Genomic DNA, 17,926 nt, shown 5'->3' on the forward strand with positions numbered 1-17,926 from the left:
CTCCTCCCTATGGCCCCGCATCTCGTCTCCCCATCACCCACATTCCCTTCCTCATACTCCCCATGAAAGTTACCTGAGAGCCATGTGATCACCCTGAGCTGACTGCACTCGGGGACAGGTCTGAGAATGCGGCCATGTGACCCAGCCTGCCCACGTGTGCCTTGAATTGTGACCACGTGGCCGTGCAGGGGACTGTCTGCAAGGCTGTCTGTGTGAGACTCTGGTGTTGTGTGTGAGAGACTCCGATGCTGCAGCTGTGGGAGTGGCACTGCCCATGAGTGTGAGTGTGTGACCACACCTGACCAGCTGGCTGTGCAGCACCTGTGTATGTGCATCAGTGGATCTTGGGCATGACCCTTGTCTTTGTGGGCGACTCTGGCCTGATCCTGTAACCGTATTTGTGGGTCTCGGTAGCCCCCCAGACAGTAGACTGTGTGTGTGTGTGACTCTGTGGTTGCTGCTGGGCGTCCTGTGTGTGGTCACACAGCCACAGTCAGCTGCTGCGTGAGACTCTGTGTGATAGGGTGTCATGGATGTGACTGGCTGGGTAGCATTGTGGGATTGAGATGGTGACCACATCTGATGTGGCCATGTGATGACCAGAAACATGGCGGTGTCTGAAGTGGTCCTTATGAAGTGGGTTATGGTCACAAGGTAAGCCACCGTGCCTGGCTCTTCCATCCTACTTTACACAAATGTCATTAAAAGCTCATTTGGAGGCCAGGCACGGTGGCTCACACCTGTAATCCCAGCACTTTGGGGAGGCCAAGGTGGGCGGATCACCTGAGGTCAGGAGTTAGAGACCAGCCTGGCCAACATGGTGAAACTTTGTCTTTACTAAAAATACAAAAATTAGCCAGGCGTGGTGGTGGTTGCCTGCAATCCCACATACTCGGGAGGCTGAGGCAGGAGAATCACTTGACCCCAGCAGGCAGAGGTTGCAGTGAGCCGAGATGGTGCCATTGTACTGCAGCCTGGGTGACGAGCAAAACTCCGTCTTGAAAAATAAATAAAATAAAAAAGCTCATTTGGGTAATTACAGGTGCAATGTCTGTCTGCCCTGCTGGAATGCAGGATCCCCATGGGCAGACACCATGTGTCTGGTCATGCTGCCAGCCCTGTACCGTGCATGGGGCCTGGCCCCCAGCTGCAGCACAGCAGGTGCTTCTGGAATGAATCCATGAATACAAGGTCACACACAGCCTCTTGACATCACTGGTACATGCACATGTACCCTGCTCCTGTTCATTTACCAGTTGGCTCCCACCCTTCCTTCAGGCCTTGGGAAAGTGTCACCTCCCCAAGGCCTGAAGGAAGGGTGGGAGCCAACTGGTAAATGAACAGGAGCAGGGAGCACACAGGCCTCCGGGAGAGTCTGCAGGCCTGAAGGCCTTCCAGCTGCAAGGCACATGGTTATGGTCACAAGGTAAGCAGCAGGCCAGTGTGGCTGCAGTAGCTGCCGGATCTATGGCAGTCAGGGCCTTGGGGACACAGGGTAGGCAGGAGAGCTGACTCTGGCTGCTCTGTGAGAATGGACAGGGCAGCCTGTGAGGAAGCAGAGACCGGTTAGGAGGCTTTGTAGCGGTCCAGGGAAAAGATGGTGGCGCAGGTGAGGTGATGGCGGTGGATCTGAGAACTGTCAGGGATGCTGACTGGTCAGACTTGGTAATGGGTTATGAATAGGGGCCCAGGGGGAGGGAAGTGGAGGTGAATCTTGTTTCTGGTGTATTAACCTGGGAGGAGAGTGGTGCTGGCGTAGAATGGGAAATGGGGCAGAGGCAGGTGTGAAAACTACAGCTGGTCTCAGACACCCAAGTTCAAGATGCCGTGTGCCATCTACATGGCAGTGCTCGGCAGGCTGTGGGAATCCAGGGCTGGGCTGGAGCTAAAGGACCCTGAGAAGAAAGACTGCAGATGAGAGGAAATCAGGGGAGGGGAGCGACTTGGAGGTTGGAAGGAGAGAAAGTTTCAAGAACTAGACGAGATGCTGCTGAGCGGTCAGGAGTACCTGTTGGACCGAGCAACATGGACGAGTGGCCCTGGAGATGAAGCTTGGTGCATGGTAGGACCAAAGCTGGTGGATGTTTCATGAGGCCTGTGTGGGTGCTGAGAATGTGGAGGCAGCAAGCCTAGACGTTGCCAGAAAGTGTAGCTCTGAACAAGGGGACCACTATGGCTAGAGAGGGCCGTGGAGCTGAGGGTGGGATTTTGTTTTGTTTTGTTTTGTTTTGTTTTTGTTTTTTTGAGACAAAGTGTTGCTCTGTCTCCCAGGCTGGAGTGCAGTGGCATGATCTTGGCTCACTGCAACCTCCGTCCACCTCCTGGGTTCAGGTGATTCTCCTGCCTCAGCCTCCCGAGTAGCTGGGTTTATAGGCGTGCCCGCCACCACACCCAGCTAATTTTTTTTTTGTAATTTTAGTAGAGACAGTGTTTCACCGTGTTAGCCAGGGTGGTCTGGATCTCCTGACCTCGTGATCCGCCCGCCTCGACCTCCCAAGGTGCTGGGATTACAGGCGTGAGCCACCGCGCCCGGCCTGGGATTTTTCTTTTAAGATGGGAAAATTTCAAGCATATTTAAATGCTATTGGAAACAGTCAATAGGAAAAAAAGAAACCGTGGAAAAGAGGGTAACTGGTGGAGCCTTGGGAGGTGGAGAGAAGGGGAACAGTATGGGTGGTGAGAGAGCTTAGCCTTGGACAGGGTGGCTCAACTCTCCATTCTCATGGGTGGAAAGGAGAGAATTGCTGCAGATGCAAGTACGGTGGGGGGGTTGTAGCAAGAGATGGAGGGAGCTGCTGTGAAAGCCTGGTCTTCTCTGCAGTGTGGGAGACATGGTCATGCGCCAAGAGGAGGCAGGCAAAGGGAGCTGGAGGTCTGGGGAGCATGGAGGAGGGGGACTGTTTCATGTGAGGTGGCAGAGCGAGCCAGGCAGGGGGCAGAAACAGGCAGCATGGAGAGTCCTGGAGGATGAGGCCTCTAGGGACGTGTGCATAGGACGCCAGCCTGCCTCAGTGCCGCTGTAGAGAAGGAGGGGGAGAGCTGGATTCATCTAGGGCTTGGCAGCGGCCAGGAAGGAGCATGGAAAGATCAGGAGGCGAGGGACCTTGCGATATTGGTGAGAGTGTGGTAGGTGGTAGACCGTGGAAGCTGAACATGGAGGGTGGGAAGGACAAGGTTGATGGACAGGCATCCTGAGGAGCTGGCGAGCAGGCTCAGTGCCCGGGGCCTGGAGTGACTGAGCAAGAACAAGGGGGTGGGGTCTGCAAGGGGATGTGAGAGCCCGTGATTCTGGAGGGAGGGCCATCCCCAGTACTGGCAGCCTCCAGGGCATGACCACAGCTGTGCAGGGGAGGAGAAAGTCCTGGAGATGAGGGGCTCTGGGGCCAGTGGGTCAAGGGGCTGCTGAAGTCCCCATGGCAGGGGGTGGTGACAGAACTTGAAGAGGAAACCTGTGCATTGCAGCAGAGTCCTCGGTGGGCGTGGAGTCTGGACACATCACTGGACACAAGGAGACACGTGTCTGCCTCCTAATTCCCAAAGAAGCTGTTGAGTGAGGGCACCTCTGTTGGTGGGTACTTTTTCTCCACGCCAGGGGCTGTTGGCCTTCATGTTCGGCCTCCTGTTGGTGATTACCTGTGGCACTGGCAAAGAGACTGTTTCCAGGCAGGCACAGGTGAAGGCTGCCTTATGCCAAAAGGGCCACTGGGGCCACTCTTCCTCGGAAGAGCAGAACCGTGGGCACAGCAGATGTGAAGCAGTTCTCCATATGTGGCTGTGTGTGCGGGTGGCAGTGGGATGGCCACGTGCTTGTGTGTATGTGATATCGTGTATGTTTTGTGTGAGACAGCATATGTGTGGGAGAGACCTCGTGTGAGAGATGCTGTGTCAGAACTCTAAGACATTGTGTGTGAGAGTGTGTGTCAGATGCCATGTGTGAGACACCAAGACACGGGTATGTGATACTCTGTGTATATGTGAGTCTGTGTGAGAGACACTGATACTCCAAGACATTGTGTGTGTGTGACACTGTGAGACACCAAGACAGTATATGTGCGAGACAGCCTATGTATGTGACAGTGTGTGTGTGAGACACCATGAGAGACTGTGTATTTACTGTGAGAGACTGTGTGAGAGACACGTGTGAGACACTGTGTATATGACACTATGTATACGTGAGACTGTGAGACACTATGTGTATGTGACACTGTATATGTGTGAGACCGTATGAGACAGTGTATATGACACTGTATATGTGTGAGACTGTGTGTGTGAAACACTATATGACACTGTATATGTGTGACACTGTATATGACACTATATGTGGAGACTATGTGTGAGACACTATGTATATGTGACACTATGTATGTGTGTGACACTGTGAGAGACACTGTGAGACACCAAGACAGTATATGTATGAGACACCCTGTGTGTGTGACACAGCGTGTGACTGTGTGAGACGTGTGTGAGGCACTGAGACTGACACTGTGTGTGAGGCTGTGTGAGAGTCAGTGTGTGTGATAACTGTGTGTGTATCACCGTGTGTGTGTGTGAGAGAGGGAAGGAGAGAGAGGGAGGCAGGTCAGAGGGAGTCAGGTGTCCTTGGCGAGAGTGGCAGCAGCCTGCCTGGAGGGACCCTGGGATGGCCATTTCAGCACCTAAGGGGTAGCCTGCCCGGGTGAGTCTCCAGTCCACTGTGACTCAGTCATTGTGCCTGTGATCCCCACCCTCCATCTGCTTGCTTCCCCCCCATTTGTCTTCCCCAGCCCCCTCCGCCCCTCCCCAGAAGGTGATGTGTGTGAGCATGGGCTCCACCACGGTCCGGGTAAGTTGGGTCCCGCCGCCTGCCGACAGCCGCAACGGCGTTATCACCCAGTACTCCGTGGCCTACGAGGCGGTGGACGGCGAGGACCGCGGGCGGCATGTGGTGGATGGCATCAGCCGTGAGCACTCCAGCTGGGACCTGGTGGGCCTGGAGAAGTGGACGGAGTACCGGGTGTGGGTGCGGGCACACACAGACGTGGGCCCCGGCCCCGAGAGCAGCCCGGTGCTGGTGCGCACCGATGAGGACGGTAGGCAGTGCCACCGGGGCGGGAGGGGAGGCGTTCTGCCTCAGACACCACCCACCAAGCTCCCCAGGGCCTTCCTTTCCTGAACACAGGCCCAGGTCAACTCATCTTTCTGGTTCAGGTGTAATGGCCTAAAGTGGGGGGATGTCACTTACGGGATAACTGAGGCCCAAATCCCAGCCTTTGGGGCTGTCTCCAAAGCAGCTGAAACCTTCACAGGCTAAGATGGGAGAAGCAGCCCTGTCTAAGATTTGAAAGGTCAAGATTGGGCAGATTGGTGTAAAAGATACTCAAAGTAGAATCAGCAAGACTCCACGTTGGCTGGACATTGGCATGATTGGGGCCTAGGAGGAGTCAGGACAGGTTGTGCTGACTAGGGGTGGTCAAAGACCTGGTGCCCCACCTCCACCTGTTCCCCCATGTCGACCCTCCCCACCAAGTGAGAGGCCTGGGCCAGAGGGGTGGGCAGGGCCAGTCCTGGGCTCTTACCCGTGGCGGGCAGAGGGAGCCTTCCGTGTGCCTCACCAGGGACAGATGATCTAAGGAAACTGTATCAGGGCCTTTCCTGGGGGAGTGGGGTGCTGAGGCAGGACCCTCAAGTTTGCTGTGCCCACCTGAGCTAGGGTTGATACCTCCAGGCCTGACTTCCTTCTCTACCTGACCCCCCAGTGCCCAGCGGGCCTCCGCGGAAGGTGGAGGTGGAGCCACTGAACTCCACTGCTGTGCATGTCTACTGGAAGCTGCCTGTCCCCAGCAAGCAGCATGGCCAGATCCGCGGCTACCAGGTCACCTACGTGCGGCTGGAGAATGGCGAGCCCCGTGGACTCCCCATCATCCAAGACGTCATGCTAGCCGAGGCCCAGGTGCAGCATTGGGTGGTGGTGGGGTGGCAGGGTGAGCACAGACCAGCATGCACAAGCTCCCTTTTGGGGCCCAGATATGTCCCTCTTCCCCTGCCTGCCCTCAGCAGTGCTGTGACTGCCTTTCCTTGGTTGTGAGACCCGAGATGCTTTGCAGCATCAGGGGTTAGGCTGGGGTTTTTTGGGTGTGGGTTTTTTGTTTGTTTGTTTGTTTTGAGATAGAGCTTCACTCTTGTCGCCTAGGCTGGAGTGCCTCCTGGGTTCAAGCAATTCTCCTTCCTCAGCCTCCCGAGTAGCTGGGATTACAGGCGTCTGCCACTGCGCCTAGCCAATTTTCGTATTTTTAGTAGAGACAGGGTTTCACCATATTGGCCAGGCTGGTCTCGAACTCCTGACCTCAGGTGATCCGCCTGCCTCAGTCTCCCAGAGTGCTGAGAATACAGGTGTTAGCCACTGTGCCCCACCAGGTCGGGGTTTTGAGATGTGCCTTTCCCCTAGACAGTGCTGGGCTGGCATCCACTCTTCCCACAGAAAGGGTAGAGAGAGTGCTCCAGGGCTGTCTTACCCCACTGGCGGCCATGGGTCCGTGGTTGCTGCAAAGCTCTGTGAGTAGCCAAGTAGAGTGTTGCCCTGCTCCTGGCCCTGCAGGGAACGATTCAGCCCCTGATGTTCACCCTCAAGAGCTAGGCCTGCTGGCCAGCCTCACACCTCCCTCTGTGCACATCTGTCTTCCTGGGAGGATGGTCCTGCCCTTGAGCTTGGGGTGAGGTCCCTGGGGTATTCTGAACACTGGTTGCTATTCAGATGAAGAACTTGGAATGCTGGGGGGTTATGAGAGTGGTATGGAATTATTCAGCAAGTAGGTGGCTGCTGCGCTTGGATGAGAAGCCATGTCTGTGGACCCCTAGGAAAGGGCCACAGTTGCTGTCATGAGCCCCCTCCCAAAAGACCCTGCTGGAGAGTCACAACACCTGGTGTGGTGCTCTCAAGGTCTCCCTATCCAGGAGCAGGGCCTCCCCATTGAGCCTCTCACCTCTGCCTGGGTGGAGAGCAGGGGTGCGTGTACCACTCAATGCTGTACACACTGTGCAGAGGGGTGGGGTCACCCACACAGACAGGAGCCTTATTCCTCCAGCTGGGCTCAGCCATCTGAAGCAAAATTCTTTCTGCCCAGAGGGTGCTCTCTTCCCCCTCTCAGCCTGCCCAGTGCTAAGGCATCCGGGGTGGAGGAGGCAGGCATGTGCACCCACCTGCATTCCTGGGGCAGGTTGAGGGCTCCTTGTGGAGCCTCAGTGAACACACCTACCCAGAAACATCCCAGGAATGGGTTCCCCTAGCCCCTCCTCTCTGAGGGGGCCAGTGGCCACAGCTGTGGCCAGTGGGGTTCCAGAGAAGCCACTTCAAGTGCCCCCTTCTGGTCCCAAGAGGTTCGGAAGGGAGCTGGGCCAGAGGCTCAGGGACGCTGCCCATTTAGTCTCAGACATCCCATCATGGGGGCGGTAACTCGAGTCTGGGCTCCCGGAGGACACTGAAGATGGAGGCCTGCTCCGTAGCCCTCTCAGGACTGGGTCATTCTGTTCCTCGCCAGTGGGAGAGCAGTGGGGCCTGGTCCCGAGCGTGGCCACAGGGCCCAGCTGTCCCTGTGCTTCTGTCAAGGGCGGCACATTCTGTCCTTCACGCAACAGCACCATCCCCTCAGCTCATCCCCCATCATGCCTGAAGGAACTATGTGGTGCAGGTTCCCACCCCCAGCCTGGAAGTGTGGAGCCAGACCTGTCTCCTTTTACGTCAGATTCCATCTCCCTGCCTCCCTTTTTCCCCTCTCGTGGCCTGCATTTCTCTCTCCTTCTTGGAGTCTCTGTTTTTGTCTTGCTCTTTCTCTTCTCTCTCCTCCTTCCTTCCCTCCTCCCCCTGCCATTCCTCTGACCCCTTTCCTTCATCTCCATTTGGTTTCATCCTCCGTCCTTCCCTTCTTTCTTGCTCTGCCTCTAGCGCAGGACAGGGTCCATGTGATGTGAGAACCTCCACGCCAAGGCTTGGTTGGGACAGCCCAGGTCTCCCCGCAGGCAAGGAGACTGGAAGGGACGTGGGCCCAGCCACACCCTATAAAGTGGCCATGCACTAAGGACCTGTCCAGAGTCTCCTCTCATATTCTGTTCCATGCTTCTTGCAAGGACTTTCCAACAGAGTGTCCCAGGACAGGAGGAACTTAGGCCACCCAGCATGGAGGCCAGTGGACAGAGGCCAGACCGGCACTGTGGGGGTGCTTGGGCTGGAGGACCCCAGGTACTTCCGGCTTGGAGACATCCTGGACCATCTCCCTGTGATGTTTCATGGGGCCTCAGAATGGAGACCTCACAGTCCCTCCACCTGTCCATCTAGAATATCTACATGCACCAAAGGCCCGCAACACTGCCAGCCCCGAAACATTCCTTCCTACCTTAATCCTCAGACACCCCGAGGAAGGAACGGGTATAGGTGATTTCCCGTGCCTGTGGGCTACAGCCCAGGCTCTGAGCTTGGCACTCACAGCCTTCATAGTCTTGCTGACTGGCTTGCCCTTGGGCCCACCCTGGCCATGTGCCCTGTTCACCCCCAACTCTTACTGTTGTGGGACACTTCTCATGCCTGGGGTGATTGTGTAATGTATGATCACATCTGGGATGCTTTGGCGGGTGGAAGGAGACACTGAATAGTCAATTCCATGGCAACAAGCACAGGCCAGGACTGTCCGAGGCAAACCAGGGCATATGGGCACCCCATTCACCCCTCAGTGTCTTCCTTTCCCTTGGCCTGAGCTGTTGAACCCACCCTTCTTGTCTGGCAGCCTCTCCCTCCCAGCAAGCCCAAAATTGTCAGAGCATCTGTAGCTGCTTTGTGTTCTTAGGGCCTTCTGTCAGCGGGTCCTCTCCCTGCAGGCTGCCTGCCCTCCCTGTCTCCCTACCCTCCTCAGCCCTGGCACACCCAGTTGGTGCTCAGTGAGGCAGGGATTCAAATCTTTGAACCGGGAGTTGTTCTGGGGTGCTACCCCCATGGGTACTTTGAGGCCCAAAAGCCCTCCCTCTGTCCTCCCTGGGCAAGGTCCCTTCCAGGCCAGGCCCTCTCCAGGTCAGAGTCCTTCACCATCCTGTCTCCCTTTCTCTCCCTCTCCCGCGGTCAGTGGCGGCCAGAGGAGTCCGAGGACTATGTAAGTAACAGGTGTGCGAACGCGGACAAGACATGGGTCAAGCTGGGCTCGTGGGACGCTCCTCCTCTCCCTCCTTTCCTGCTAGCCTGCACTGCCAAGATCCACAGGGCTCTAGCCACATCAGGAGAAAATTGGCGTTTAGACACAAGCACTGAGCTGAGCAGCGATTGGCATTTCCTCTAATCCTTACTTCTTGCCTGTCGAGCAGCAATTTGAGGCCAGTGTTCATGATCGACCAGGGCCTGGCCCCTGCCCCGGCCAGACAGGGATGGAGTTAAATCCAATCCTGATCGTTAGGCCTTATTGATCCCTGGAGTGAAAAATCACCTGCTTTAGGGCCCAGGCTGGGAGGGCTGTCTGGAGAGTCGGATTCTGGCATTGGTGCATTCTGGAGCCCCAGCCCTGGGAGACCCTCCAGCTGTGGCAGGAGGGGTCCATGAGGGGGTGGTGGCAGCTGCAGGGGCCCCACTCAAGGCCAGAGCTGGAGGGATACCAGGGTTGATGACGGCTCTGTTCCCACTGCACGGTGGTCCCTGCCCTGCTTCCCACTCTTCTCTCTGTGTGGTGTGGCTTGACCTCCCATGGTGTTTCTCCGCATGTCCAGAGATGATGCCTTTGCTGCAGATGGGTATATGGGCAGGGTCTGCCAAGCGGGGAGGACATTGCCCTGGCTGCTGTCTCAGGCATCACTGAGAACAGATGTGGAAGCCAGTTCCCCAGGTGTGGAGGTTTTCTTATTCTCCTAGCCCCTCCCCTGCCTTTCTCAAGAGGTATTGCAGGGTATAGACATTCACAGAGTTAGTGGCCTATATGGGGGCAGCGGAGTCCTGACTGGGTCCTATAGGATGGCACCTTAGCCCATCCTGCCACCTTGCTCTGTCTGTGCATGCATGCACTGGTGTCCACAGGCAGCCTTACGCCTGCTTATGCAGGAGCTGTAGGCTGTGTGCGTGTGGCTGCCAAGAGCCACGCAAGGTGCTGGGTGCGTGCGAGGCTGTGCCCTGTTGATATCCTCAGTCTCCGTTCACAGCACAGTGGAGTGAGGGAAACAGTCTGGCCCTTTGTTCTTGTCTGAAAAGAATAATGAGCTGTCTGCCCCAGGCGTGCGGCTCCTGGGATGGGCGGGGTCCTCCCAGGCCTGCATCCTACCTGCCTGCTTCCTCTCCAGCAGAGGCCACCATTGTATAGCCCCACCTTCCACAACCCCTGGCCTTGTGTGCCCCGGGGCTCCCCTCAGGCTAGGGTCCTGAGGTCCCTGACAAGGTCTGGCCTCTCCCTGCATTCTTGTGATGGGAACGAACCCCTCCTCCTCCCTCAGGAAACCACTATCAGCGGCCTGACCCCGGAGACCACCTACTCCGTTACTGTTGCTGCCTATACCACCAAGGGGGATGGTGCCCGCAGCAAGCCCAAAATTGTCACTACAACAGGTGCAGGTGAGTGAGGGGTCAGGACGGACCTGAGGGTGGGGCAGCAGGAGGGCAGCGCCAGAGCCCAGCCCGTGGTCCTTCAGTCCCAGGCCGGCCCACCATGATGATCAGCACCACGGCCATGAACACTGCGCTGCTCCAGTGGCACCCACCCAAGGAACTGCCTGGCGAGCTGCTGGGCTACCGGCTGCAGTACTGCCGGGCCGACGAGGCGCGGCCCAACACCATAGATTTCGGCAAGGATGACCAGCACTTCACAGTCACCGGCCTGCACAAGGGGACCACCTACATCTTCCGGCTTGCTGCCAAGAACCGGGCTGGCTTGGGTGAGGAGTTCGAGAAGGAGATCAGGACCCCCGAGGACCTGCCCAGCGGCTTCCCCCAAAACCTGCATGTGACAGGACTGACCACGTCTACCACAGAACTGGCCTGGGACCCGCCAGTGCTGGCGGAGAGGAACGGGCGCATCATCAGCTACACCGTGGTGTTCCGAGACATCAACAGCCAACAGGAGCTGCAGAACATCACGACAGACACCCGCTTTACCCTTACTGGCCTCAAGCCAGACACCACTTACGACATCAAGGTCCGCGCATGGACCAGCAAAGGCTCTGGCCCACTCAGCCCCAGCATCCAGTCCCGGACCATGCCGGTGGAGCAAGGTGTGTGCTGTGGACATGGCATCCCTTCCCGAGTGTGGCTGCATCTGGGGGTCTCTGCTCTCCTTGAGCCACTGACCTCTGGCGACTGTGATCCACCAGCCTCTGGTGTGTGACCTCCAATCTCTCATGACTGTGACCACTAACCTCTAGTGAATGGGCACCACATTCTTGATGCCTGACCTCTGCTGTCCTTAACCTACTGACCTCTGCTGTATGACCTTCTGATCTCTTGTGACCTTGACCCACTGATCTCTTTTGACTGTGTCACTATTCTTGGGTGTGCAACCTCCTGATCTTTGGTGTGTGACACTAATCTCTTGGGGCCATGACCCACCGACCTCTAGTGAACATGCTCCACCACGCTCTGGTGTGTGGCCACATGCTTCTCATGACCGAAACCCACTGACCCTCTGATCACTCTGGCCTGGTGTCCATCGGCTCAAGCTTTTACACTCGCGTTTCTGGAGATTCTGACCCTGGTTGCTGTGGCATCCCCCGCCCTGTTTGGTGCTCACTGTGGAAGAGCTTGGGCTGGGAGTTCAACTGTGCCGTTTGAAGCTGGCTGGGAGTGGGGCGCTTGGTACTCTGCAGCCATCCTTCAACCCCCTGTTCCCCAACCAGTGTCTCATCCTGGCCATTCACCTTCCACCCTTCCAGCCCATTCACCCCACCTCATATACCCAGCAGAGCTGACTCTCTCTATGCCTTTGCAGTGTTTGCCAAGAACTTCCGGGTGGCGGCTGCAATGAAGACGTCTGTGCTGCTCAGCTGGGAGGTTCCCGACTCCTATAAGTCAGCTGTGCCCTTTAAGGTGAGTAAGGGCCACGGCCAGCTGAGCCTGGCACACACACAGGCCTGCTGGGTGCTGTCTTTCCAGTCCTAACCCATGTGCATCCGGCTGTGGAGCAGGAATGTGGTTGTGTATCCGTGCACTGTGCCTTGCAGCCCGTGGTAGGGAACCTCACCCAAAGGCATTGATTGCCCCTCCCGTCCCCCACAGATTCTGTACAATGGGCAGAGTGTGGAGGTGGACGGGCACTCGATGCGGAAGCTGATCGCAGACCTGCAGCCCAACACAGAGTACTCGTTTGTGCTGATGAACCGTGGCAGCAGCGCAGGGGGCCTGCAGCACCTGGTGTCCATCCGCACAGCCCCCGACCTCCTGCCTCACAAGCCGCTGCCTGCCTCTGCCTACATAGAGGACGGCCGCTTCGATCTCTCCATGCCCCATGTGCAAGACCCCTCGCTTGTCAGGTGTGCACACGAGGTATCGGGGGAGGCGGGGCAGGGCTGGAGGTAACCAGCAGTGACAGTCCTGATTCCTGCCCTGCCCACCCAGGTGGTTCTACATTGTTGTGGTGCCCATTGACCGTGTGGGCGGGAGCATGCTGACGCCAAGGTGGAGCACACCCGAGGAACTGGAGCTGGACGAGGTACCTGGGGAGGGGATGGGGACACTGACAGCCCCATTGCAGTGGTCAGCTGTGGCCTTCCTGCCCTGAGCACTGTCCCAGTGACTCTCAGATTCACTCCCCAAATTGAAATCTCTCTTCTGGCTGGCAGCCCGCCCCTCTCTGGAGAGAGGGACTCTGAGGAAACCATCTGGGAGTATTCACAGAACTCCCGGAGGGCTTACGAAGAATCCCTGGGGTGGGATGTCGTGGAGATGCCTCTGCAGGTCTAGAGAATGCCAAGCCCTGTAGACACTGCAGAGCCTCGCAGATCTAGAAGCTATGGAGGGCTTAGTGAGCCTTATAGCCAGGAGTCCCTGAATGTTTGAAATCCTTCAGTCCTTTCTCATAGCCAGTGTGGCAACAGCCTGGTTAGGGTGGGGCAGCTTACACACAGGGCTGCTTCTCATGGGCTGGTGGGGAGGAGTGGCTTCACGGTGTCTGTTACTCTGTAGGGGCAGTGGGTTGGGCAGGTGTGGGCTCTGACACGGAAGGTGAGCCTTGATCTCGGCCCAGGGAGCTGACATCCCAGGCCACAGCCTCAGGGCTGGCCGGCATGCTCCAAGGCCCCTCATGACCCCCATGCTCTGCTCTGCCAGCTTCTAGAAGCCATCGAGCAAGGCGGAGAGGAGCAGCGGCGGCGGCGGCGGCAGGCAGAACGTCTGAAGCCATATGTGGCTGCTCAACTGGATGTGCTCCCGGAGACCTTTACCTTGGGGGACAAGAAGAACTACCGGGGCTTCTACAACCGGCCCCTGTCTCCGGACTTGAGCTACCAGTGCTTTGTGCTTGCCTCCTTGAAGGAACCCATGGACCAGGTCTGCCTGAGCCGGCTTGGCTGTCAGCACCCTGATTCCCTGGGCCTGGCCTGAGACGATGCCAGTCTCAAACACCACAAGACCCCAGGTCTTTATCAGTTTGGGGGCTTCGAGATCCTGGGGCAGCACTAAAGACCCAAGATCTGTCCCGGGGATCCTAAGACGCGGCCCTGGGACCCAGAGGCCAGACCTAATGTGGCTCCAGGGACCCAGTCCTGCCAGGTCCACCTTGTAGGGTCTGGGAGACCAGGCCCAGGGTAACCCAGACCCAGAGCCCTTTCTCCAGGATTAATAGGCAGAGGGTGGGGGGTTCTCACGCTGAGCTCACAGCCTGCTGTTCTCCACCGGGCCACAGAAGCGCTATGCCTCCAGCCCCTACTCGGATGAGATCGTGGTCCAGGTGACACCAGCCCAGCAGCAGGAGGAGCCGGAGATGCTGTGGGTGACGGGTCCCGTGCTGGCAGTCATCCTCATCATCCTCATTGTCATCGCCATCCTCTTGTTCAAAAGGTGAGCACTGCCCTCAGAGCTCCGGGAACGGCCACCTGCCCCTCGCCTTTCAGGCCCTCTCCGGGTGTGGTGCCTGTGGAGAGCGTGCAGCCTTGCATCCTGGACCCTGAGCCTCAGGCTCAGCAGGAAGGCAGGAAGGGCAGGAGCAGTGTGTGTGCCTACCTGTGTCTGCAGGCCTGCATCTGTCAGGTGAGGGAGCCTCTGCAGCAGCCTGGGCGTGAGGAACTAAAGCCTCAGAGGGTTGTCTCATGTGCATCCCTGGCACGTCTGTCTGTCTCTGTGTTTCTGTGGATAAGAGTGCGTCTGTCTCCTCTTCAGTTTTAAGACACCGCCATCTCCTGAGCTCCTACCTCGAGTCCTTTCCTTCTGCCACCATTCCTGGATGATTCCCCAGCCCTACTCTCCTGCTTAGGCCTAGAGAGGTCGAGCTGGAGGCCCACAGGCCATGGATGCTCACTAACAGACATGACTGATGGCCTGCTGTGCCCGTGCCATCCGCAGCGGCCTCAGCCTCAGTGTGTCTTTCCCACTCAGTTCTCTATCGGCAGTGGCCACCACCTGCCCTAGGAGTCTCCCTTCCTATCCGTGCACCTTCCAGCCTGAAAGGGATTTCCAAAGATTTAACTTTGTCACTCTCAGTTTAAAACCTTTTGATGGCTGCCCACGTAAAGCCCACCCTCTTTAGCCTGACAGCCAAACACCTGGCTAATCTGACCCCTGCCACACTCCTGACATTGCGACACTGAACTCATTCAGTGTTCAGGCCCACACAGGGTGTGCCCTCTGCGGATCTCCCTCCCCCTGCCCACTTGGCAACAGCAATCTCATCGTTCAGGACTCAAGTCCATGCTCTGGTGCCTGCAAGGCCTTGCCTGGCCCCTACCCCTTCCTTGCACAGCTGTCCCCTGTGATGCTCCACTGCAAACGCAGCTGGGCCTGTGTGCCAAGCCTTCAGCCCCCAGCACTGGGCTGAGCCCACAGGCATGTCAGTGAGCACCTGGCAGATGAAGATATGCTAGTCTGTGTGTCTGAGCACATCTCTGCACCATGCAGGAGAGCCTGTATCCTGTGTGCCTACCCTGGACCCACTGTTCCTTCCTAAAGAGTCCACTCCTTCCTCCCAGGGTGGATGGACCTGTGGGCGGGTCCCTAAGGAGTGTCCCACAGATGCACTCATCCTTCCCACTTCCACCTGCATTCTGGGTCTGTCCAGAGAGGTAGACCCCCTCCCTGTGAATGTCATGTGGGTGCCATATAAGGGGCCTGCAGGGTCCCCATGTCATTAGAGGGCTGAGTGCTTGGTGGAAACTGTGACCGTTCCTTTCTTCTGTCCTTGCTTGTCTTTCGGGACCTAGTAAACAAGAAAGGTAGGAGTTGTTCCTTCTCTCTTCACACACCTCCCCCTCTACTTCTAATCCTTGGGCCAGCAGGGAGGGATGACGCTTTGACCAGAAGTCCCCTGGCCTATGGCTTTAAGCAGCAAACTGTCCAGTCAGCTCAGCAGGCTCCCTGGTTCAGGACTGAGTCCTCATTGGTGTGAGGAGGCAGTTTCTGTCTCACTCTTGCCAGTTCAACTCTGCAGAGGATGCTTCTTCTCTGGGGCACATACATAATACAGACTGCATTGCTTTCCCTGAGCGTACAGAGCTCACCAGAACCATCACCCGGCTCCCAGTTCTCTGAGAAGTTGCCTAAGTGCTGCGAGAGACAGTCTCGCACAGAGCAAAGAGCAGTCACTGTGTGGAACAGCAGAGAGGCATGTCCTTGTACCCACCTGAGCACACTCACTCAAATTCTTCTTTCCGAAGCACATGCGTCTGCAGACCACAAGTAGCCTCTGGCTATTTGTTGGCAGCTGAATCCTATGGTCTGTCTCTGACCCTGTCCTTGTAGATGGGAAAACTGAGGCCAGTGAGAGAGGACTCTGCCCAGCTAGGGTGACGCCTTTCCCGTCCCTCCCCTGCTGCCCTGGGCATTTACCCTGATACTCTGAGGGCCAAAAAGCTGGGGCCCTGTCTCCTGTGCTGTTTGTGTATTTTATGTGTCATTTGCATGTTTGTTCCCGGTGGTTCCTGCTACTCAGCTGGGTGGCCTTGGAGATAGCAGTCACTGTCCTGCAGTGACCTGCCTTCTATCCAAAGGAGCTGCTCGCCCCTGCAACCCCTTCCTCCCTGCTGCACTGCCCCTCTGCTCACGCCACACTCCTGCTCTCCCTACCCCCTCCCTGCCCTGTGTTCTCTCATGTCAAGGCTGTTCTGGCCCTGGCTCCTCCGCGCTCAGAGATCCTGGGAAGAGGTGGGGCAGTAGGAGGACAGAGCCGTGGACATGGGGGCTCCTTGGCAGCCAGCCATGCCATGTGTCACTGTCTCAGCCTGGACCTCAGGTTCTCACCAGCCTCCCTTCTGTCTCTCTAGGAAAAGGACCCACTCTCCGTCCTCTAAGGATGAGCAGTCGATCGGACTGAAGGACTCCTTGCTGGCCCACTCCTCTGACCCTGTGGAGATGCGGAGGCTCAACTACCAGACCCCAGGTAGGGCACTCCTATGGCCTGTGTGCCCCCAGCCCAGACCTAGCAGGCCTGTGGGTCTGTTCTGCAGGTCTCAGGGTCGCCACTGAAGTTCCTGGGCCGCATGCACTTGTTCCTGCTCCTTTTCTTCCTTTCTGCCCTTCTCCCTGTGCTCATCCACTTTGGTTGGAATGACTGGGGAGCCCCCATATCCTGCAGCTGGACAGGTGCCCCAGGCCAGGACCCTCTTAGGTGGCAAAGCCACTTAGCCACTGCCTTGTCTTCAGTCAAGGCCTCTGAATATGGGCTGAGGACCTCCCAGAGCCCACGTCTCTGCCACAGGGTGGCCAGTGTCTGGCGCACGCTCTGACGCCTCCACATGAAAGAGGGGCATGTTAGCAGTGGGAGATGCCTCACCAGACATCTGTGGGGAGATGAAGTGCCTGCACCTGAGCCTTCCTGGAGGCCGACCCCAGGTTTACCATACCACGTACCTGCCCCTTCTCCTAGCCACTCTCATGGGGCTGTCCACCTCTTCCTTCTACCTGAAATGTTACTCCTCCCAACACCCAGCAGACACAGCTCAGACCTCTCCTCTTGCCCACACCCCCACAGGGTTAGGTGTCTCTTCTTGGCTCCAGGAACCTCCCTCCTTCTTCCTTTTGACGCCTCTCACAGTGAGCTGGGATTACCTCAGTGACAGTCTCTGAGCTCTGTGGTGCCAGGAACTGTGTCTTGTCATCCCCCATCCCTTGTATTCAGCGCACGATGGGTTCTTGTTGAATGCCTGTGAAATGAACACACAGACAAATGAAGGAATGAGTGAACTAATGCATACACACAGGGTTTGTGTATGTATGAGCTGGTTATTCTGCATGTCAAATTACCCCAAAACTTAGTGGCTTAAAACAACAATAATTATGTATTATCTGTCACAGTTTTTGTGAGGCAGGAATTCAGACAGGGGCACAGCAGGAACAGCTTGTCTTTATTCCAGAAAGTCTGGGCCCTCAGCCGGAAGACTTGAAGGCTGGGAGCTAGAGTCATTTAAAGCAGGGGTTGGCAGACTATGGCCCGTGGCCAAGTACAGCCCACCACCTGTTTTTGTAAATAAATTTTTACTGGCTGGGCGTGGTGGCTCATGCCTGTGATCCCAGCACTTTGGGAGGCTGAGCCGGGTGGATCACCTGAGGTCAGGAGTTCGAGACCAGCTAATGAAATCCCATCTCTACTAAAAGTACAAAAATTAGCCAGGTGTGTGGCCCCTGTCATCCCAGCTACTCAGGAGGCTGAGGCAGGAGAATCACTTGAACCCAGGAGGTAGAGGTTGCGTGAGCCAAGATCGTACCATCGCATTCCAGCCTGGGTGACAAGAGCAAAACCCCATCTCAAAAATAAACAAATAAATAAAATTCTACTGGAACAGACACACCCAT

At 56.9% G+C, this 17,926-nt stretch overlaps 1 protein-coding gene across 35 annotated transcripts in view, besides 3 other annotated features; it reads left to right on the forward strand.

Moving 5' to 3' along the window:
- Window positions 1-17,926, forward strand: part of PTPRF (protein tyrosine phosphatase receptor type F) — a 101,616-nt gene that overhangs the window by 70,934 nt on the left and 12,756 nt on the right. For 11 of the 35 annotated variants that reach the window (XM_011541873.3, XM_011541871.4, XM_011541872.4 and 8 more), the window contains 11 exons: window positions 4,764-5,069; window positions 5,736-5,929; window positions 9,087-9,113; window positions 10,432-10,549; window positions 10,627-11,205; window positions 11,919-12,016; window positions 12,206-12,459; window positions 12,545-12,638; window positions 13,256-13,474; window positions 13,830-13,984; window positions 16,399-16,514. In XM_011541873.3, the coding sequence (XP_011540175.1) occupies window positions 4,764-5,069; window positions 5,736-5,929; window positions 9,087-9,113; window positions 10,432-10,549; window positions 10,627-11,205; window positions 11,919-12,016; window positions 12,206-12,459; window positions 12,545-12,638; window positions 13,256-13,474; window positions 13,830-13,984; window positions 16,399-16,514 (2,160 nt within the window). Of the gene's footprint in view, window positions 1-4,763; window positions 5,070-5,735; window positions 5,930-9,086; window positions 9,114-10,431; window positions 10,550-10,626; window positions 11,206-11,918; window positions 12,017-12,205; window positions 12,460-12,544; window positions 12,639-13,255; window positions 13,475-13,829; window positions 13,985-15,339; window positions 15,352-16,398; window positions 16,515-17,926 lie in introns of all 35 variants that reach the window. The other 24 variants (XM_006710796.4, XM_006710798.4, XM_005271081.4 and 21 more) reach the window with 8 other exon arrangements.
- Window positions 2,629-3,129: an enhancer, noted in NCBI's record as "H3K4me1 hESC enhancer chr1:44061284-44061784 (GRCh37/hg19 assembly coordinates)". NCBI's record gives its function as "activates a minimal SCP1, AML or CMV promoter by ChIP-STARR-seq in naive H9 embryonic stem cells {active_cell/tissue: H9 hESC(naive)}" and the evidence as "EXISTENCE:reporter gene assay evidence [ECO:0000049][PMID:30033119]".
- Window positions 3,130-3,630: an enhancer, noted in NCBI's record as "H3K4me1 hESC enhancer chr1:44061785-44062285 (GRCh37/hg19 assembly coordinates)". NCBI's record gives its function as "activates a minimal SCP1, AML or CMV promoter by ChIP-STARR-seq in primed H9 embryonic stem cells {active_cell/tissue: H9 hESC(primed)}" and the evidence as "EXISTENCE:reporter gene assay evidence [ECO:0000049][PMID:30033119]".
- Window positions 5,280-5,781: an enhancer, noted in NCBI's record as "H3K4me1 hESC enhancer chr1:44063935-44064436 (GRCh37/hg19 assembly coordinates)". NCBI's record gives its function as "activates a minimal SCP1, AML or CMV promoter by ChIP-STARR-seq in primed H9 embryonic stem cells {active_cell/tissue: H9 hESC(primed)}" and the evidence as "EXISTENCE:reporter gene assay evidence [ECO:0000049][PMID:30033119]".

This window comes from Homo sapiens, chromosome 1 (assembly GCF_000001405.40).
Source record: "Homo sapiens chromosome 1, GRCh38.p14 Primary Assembly".
Classification (NCBI taxonomy): Eukaryota; Metazoa; Chordata; class Mammalia; order Primates; family Hominidae; genus Homo; species Homo sapiens.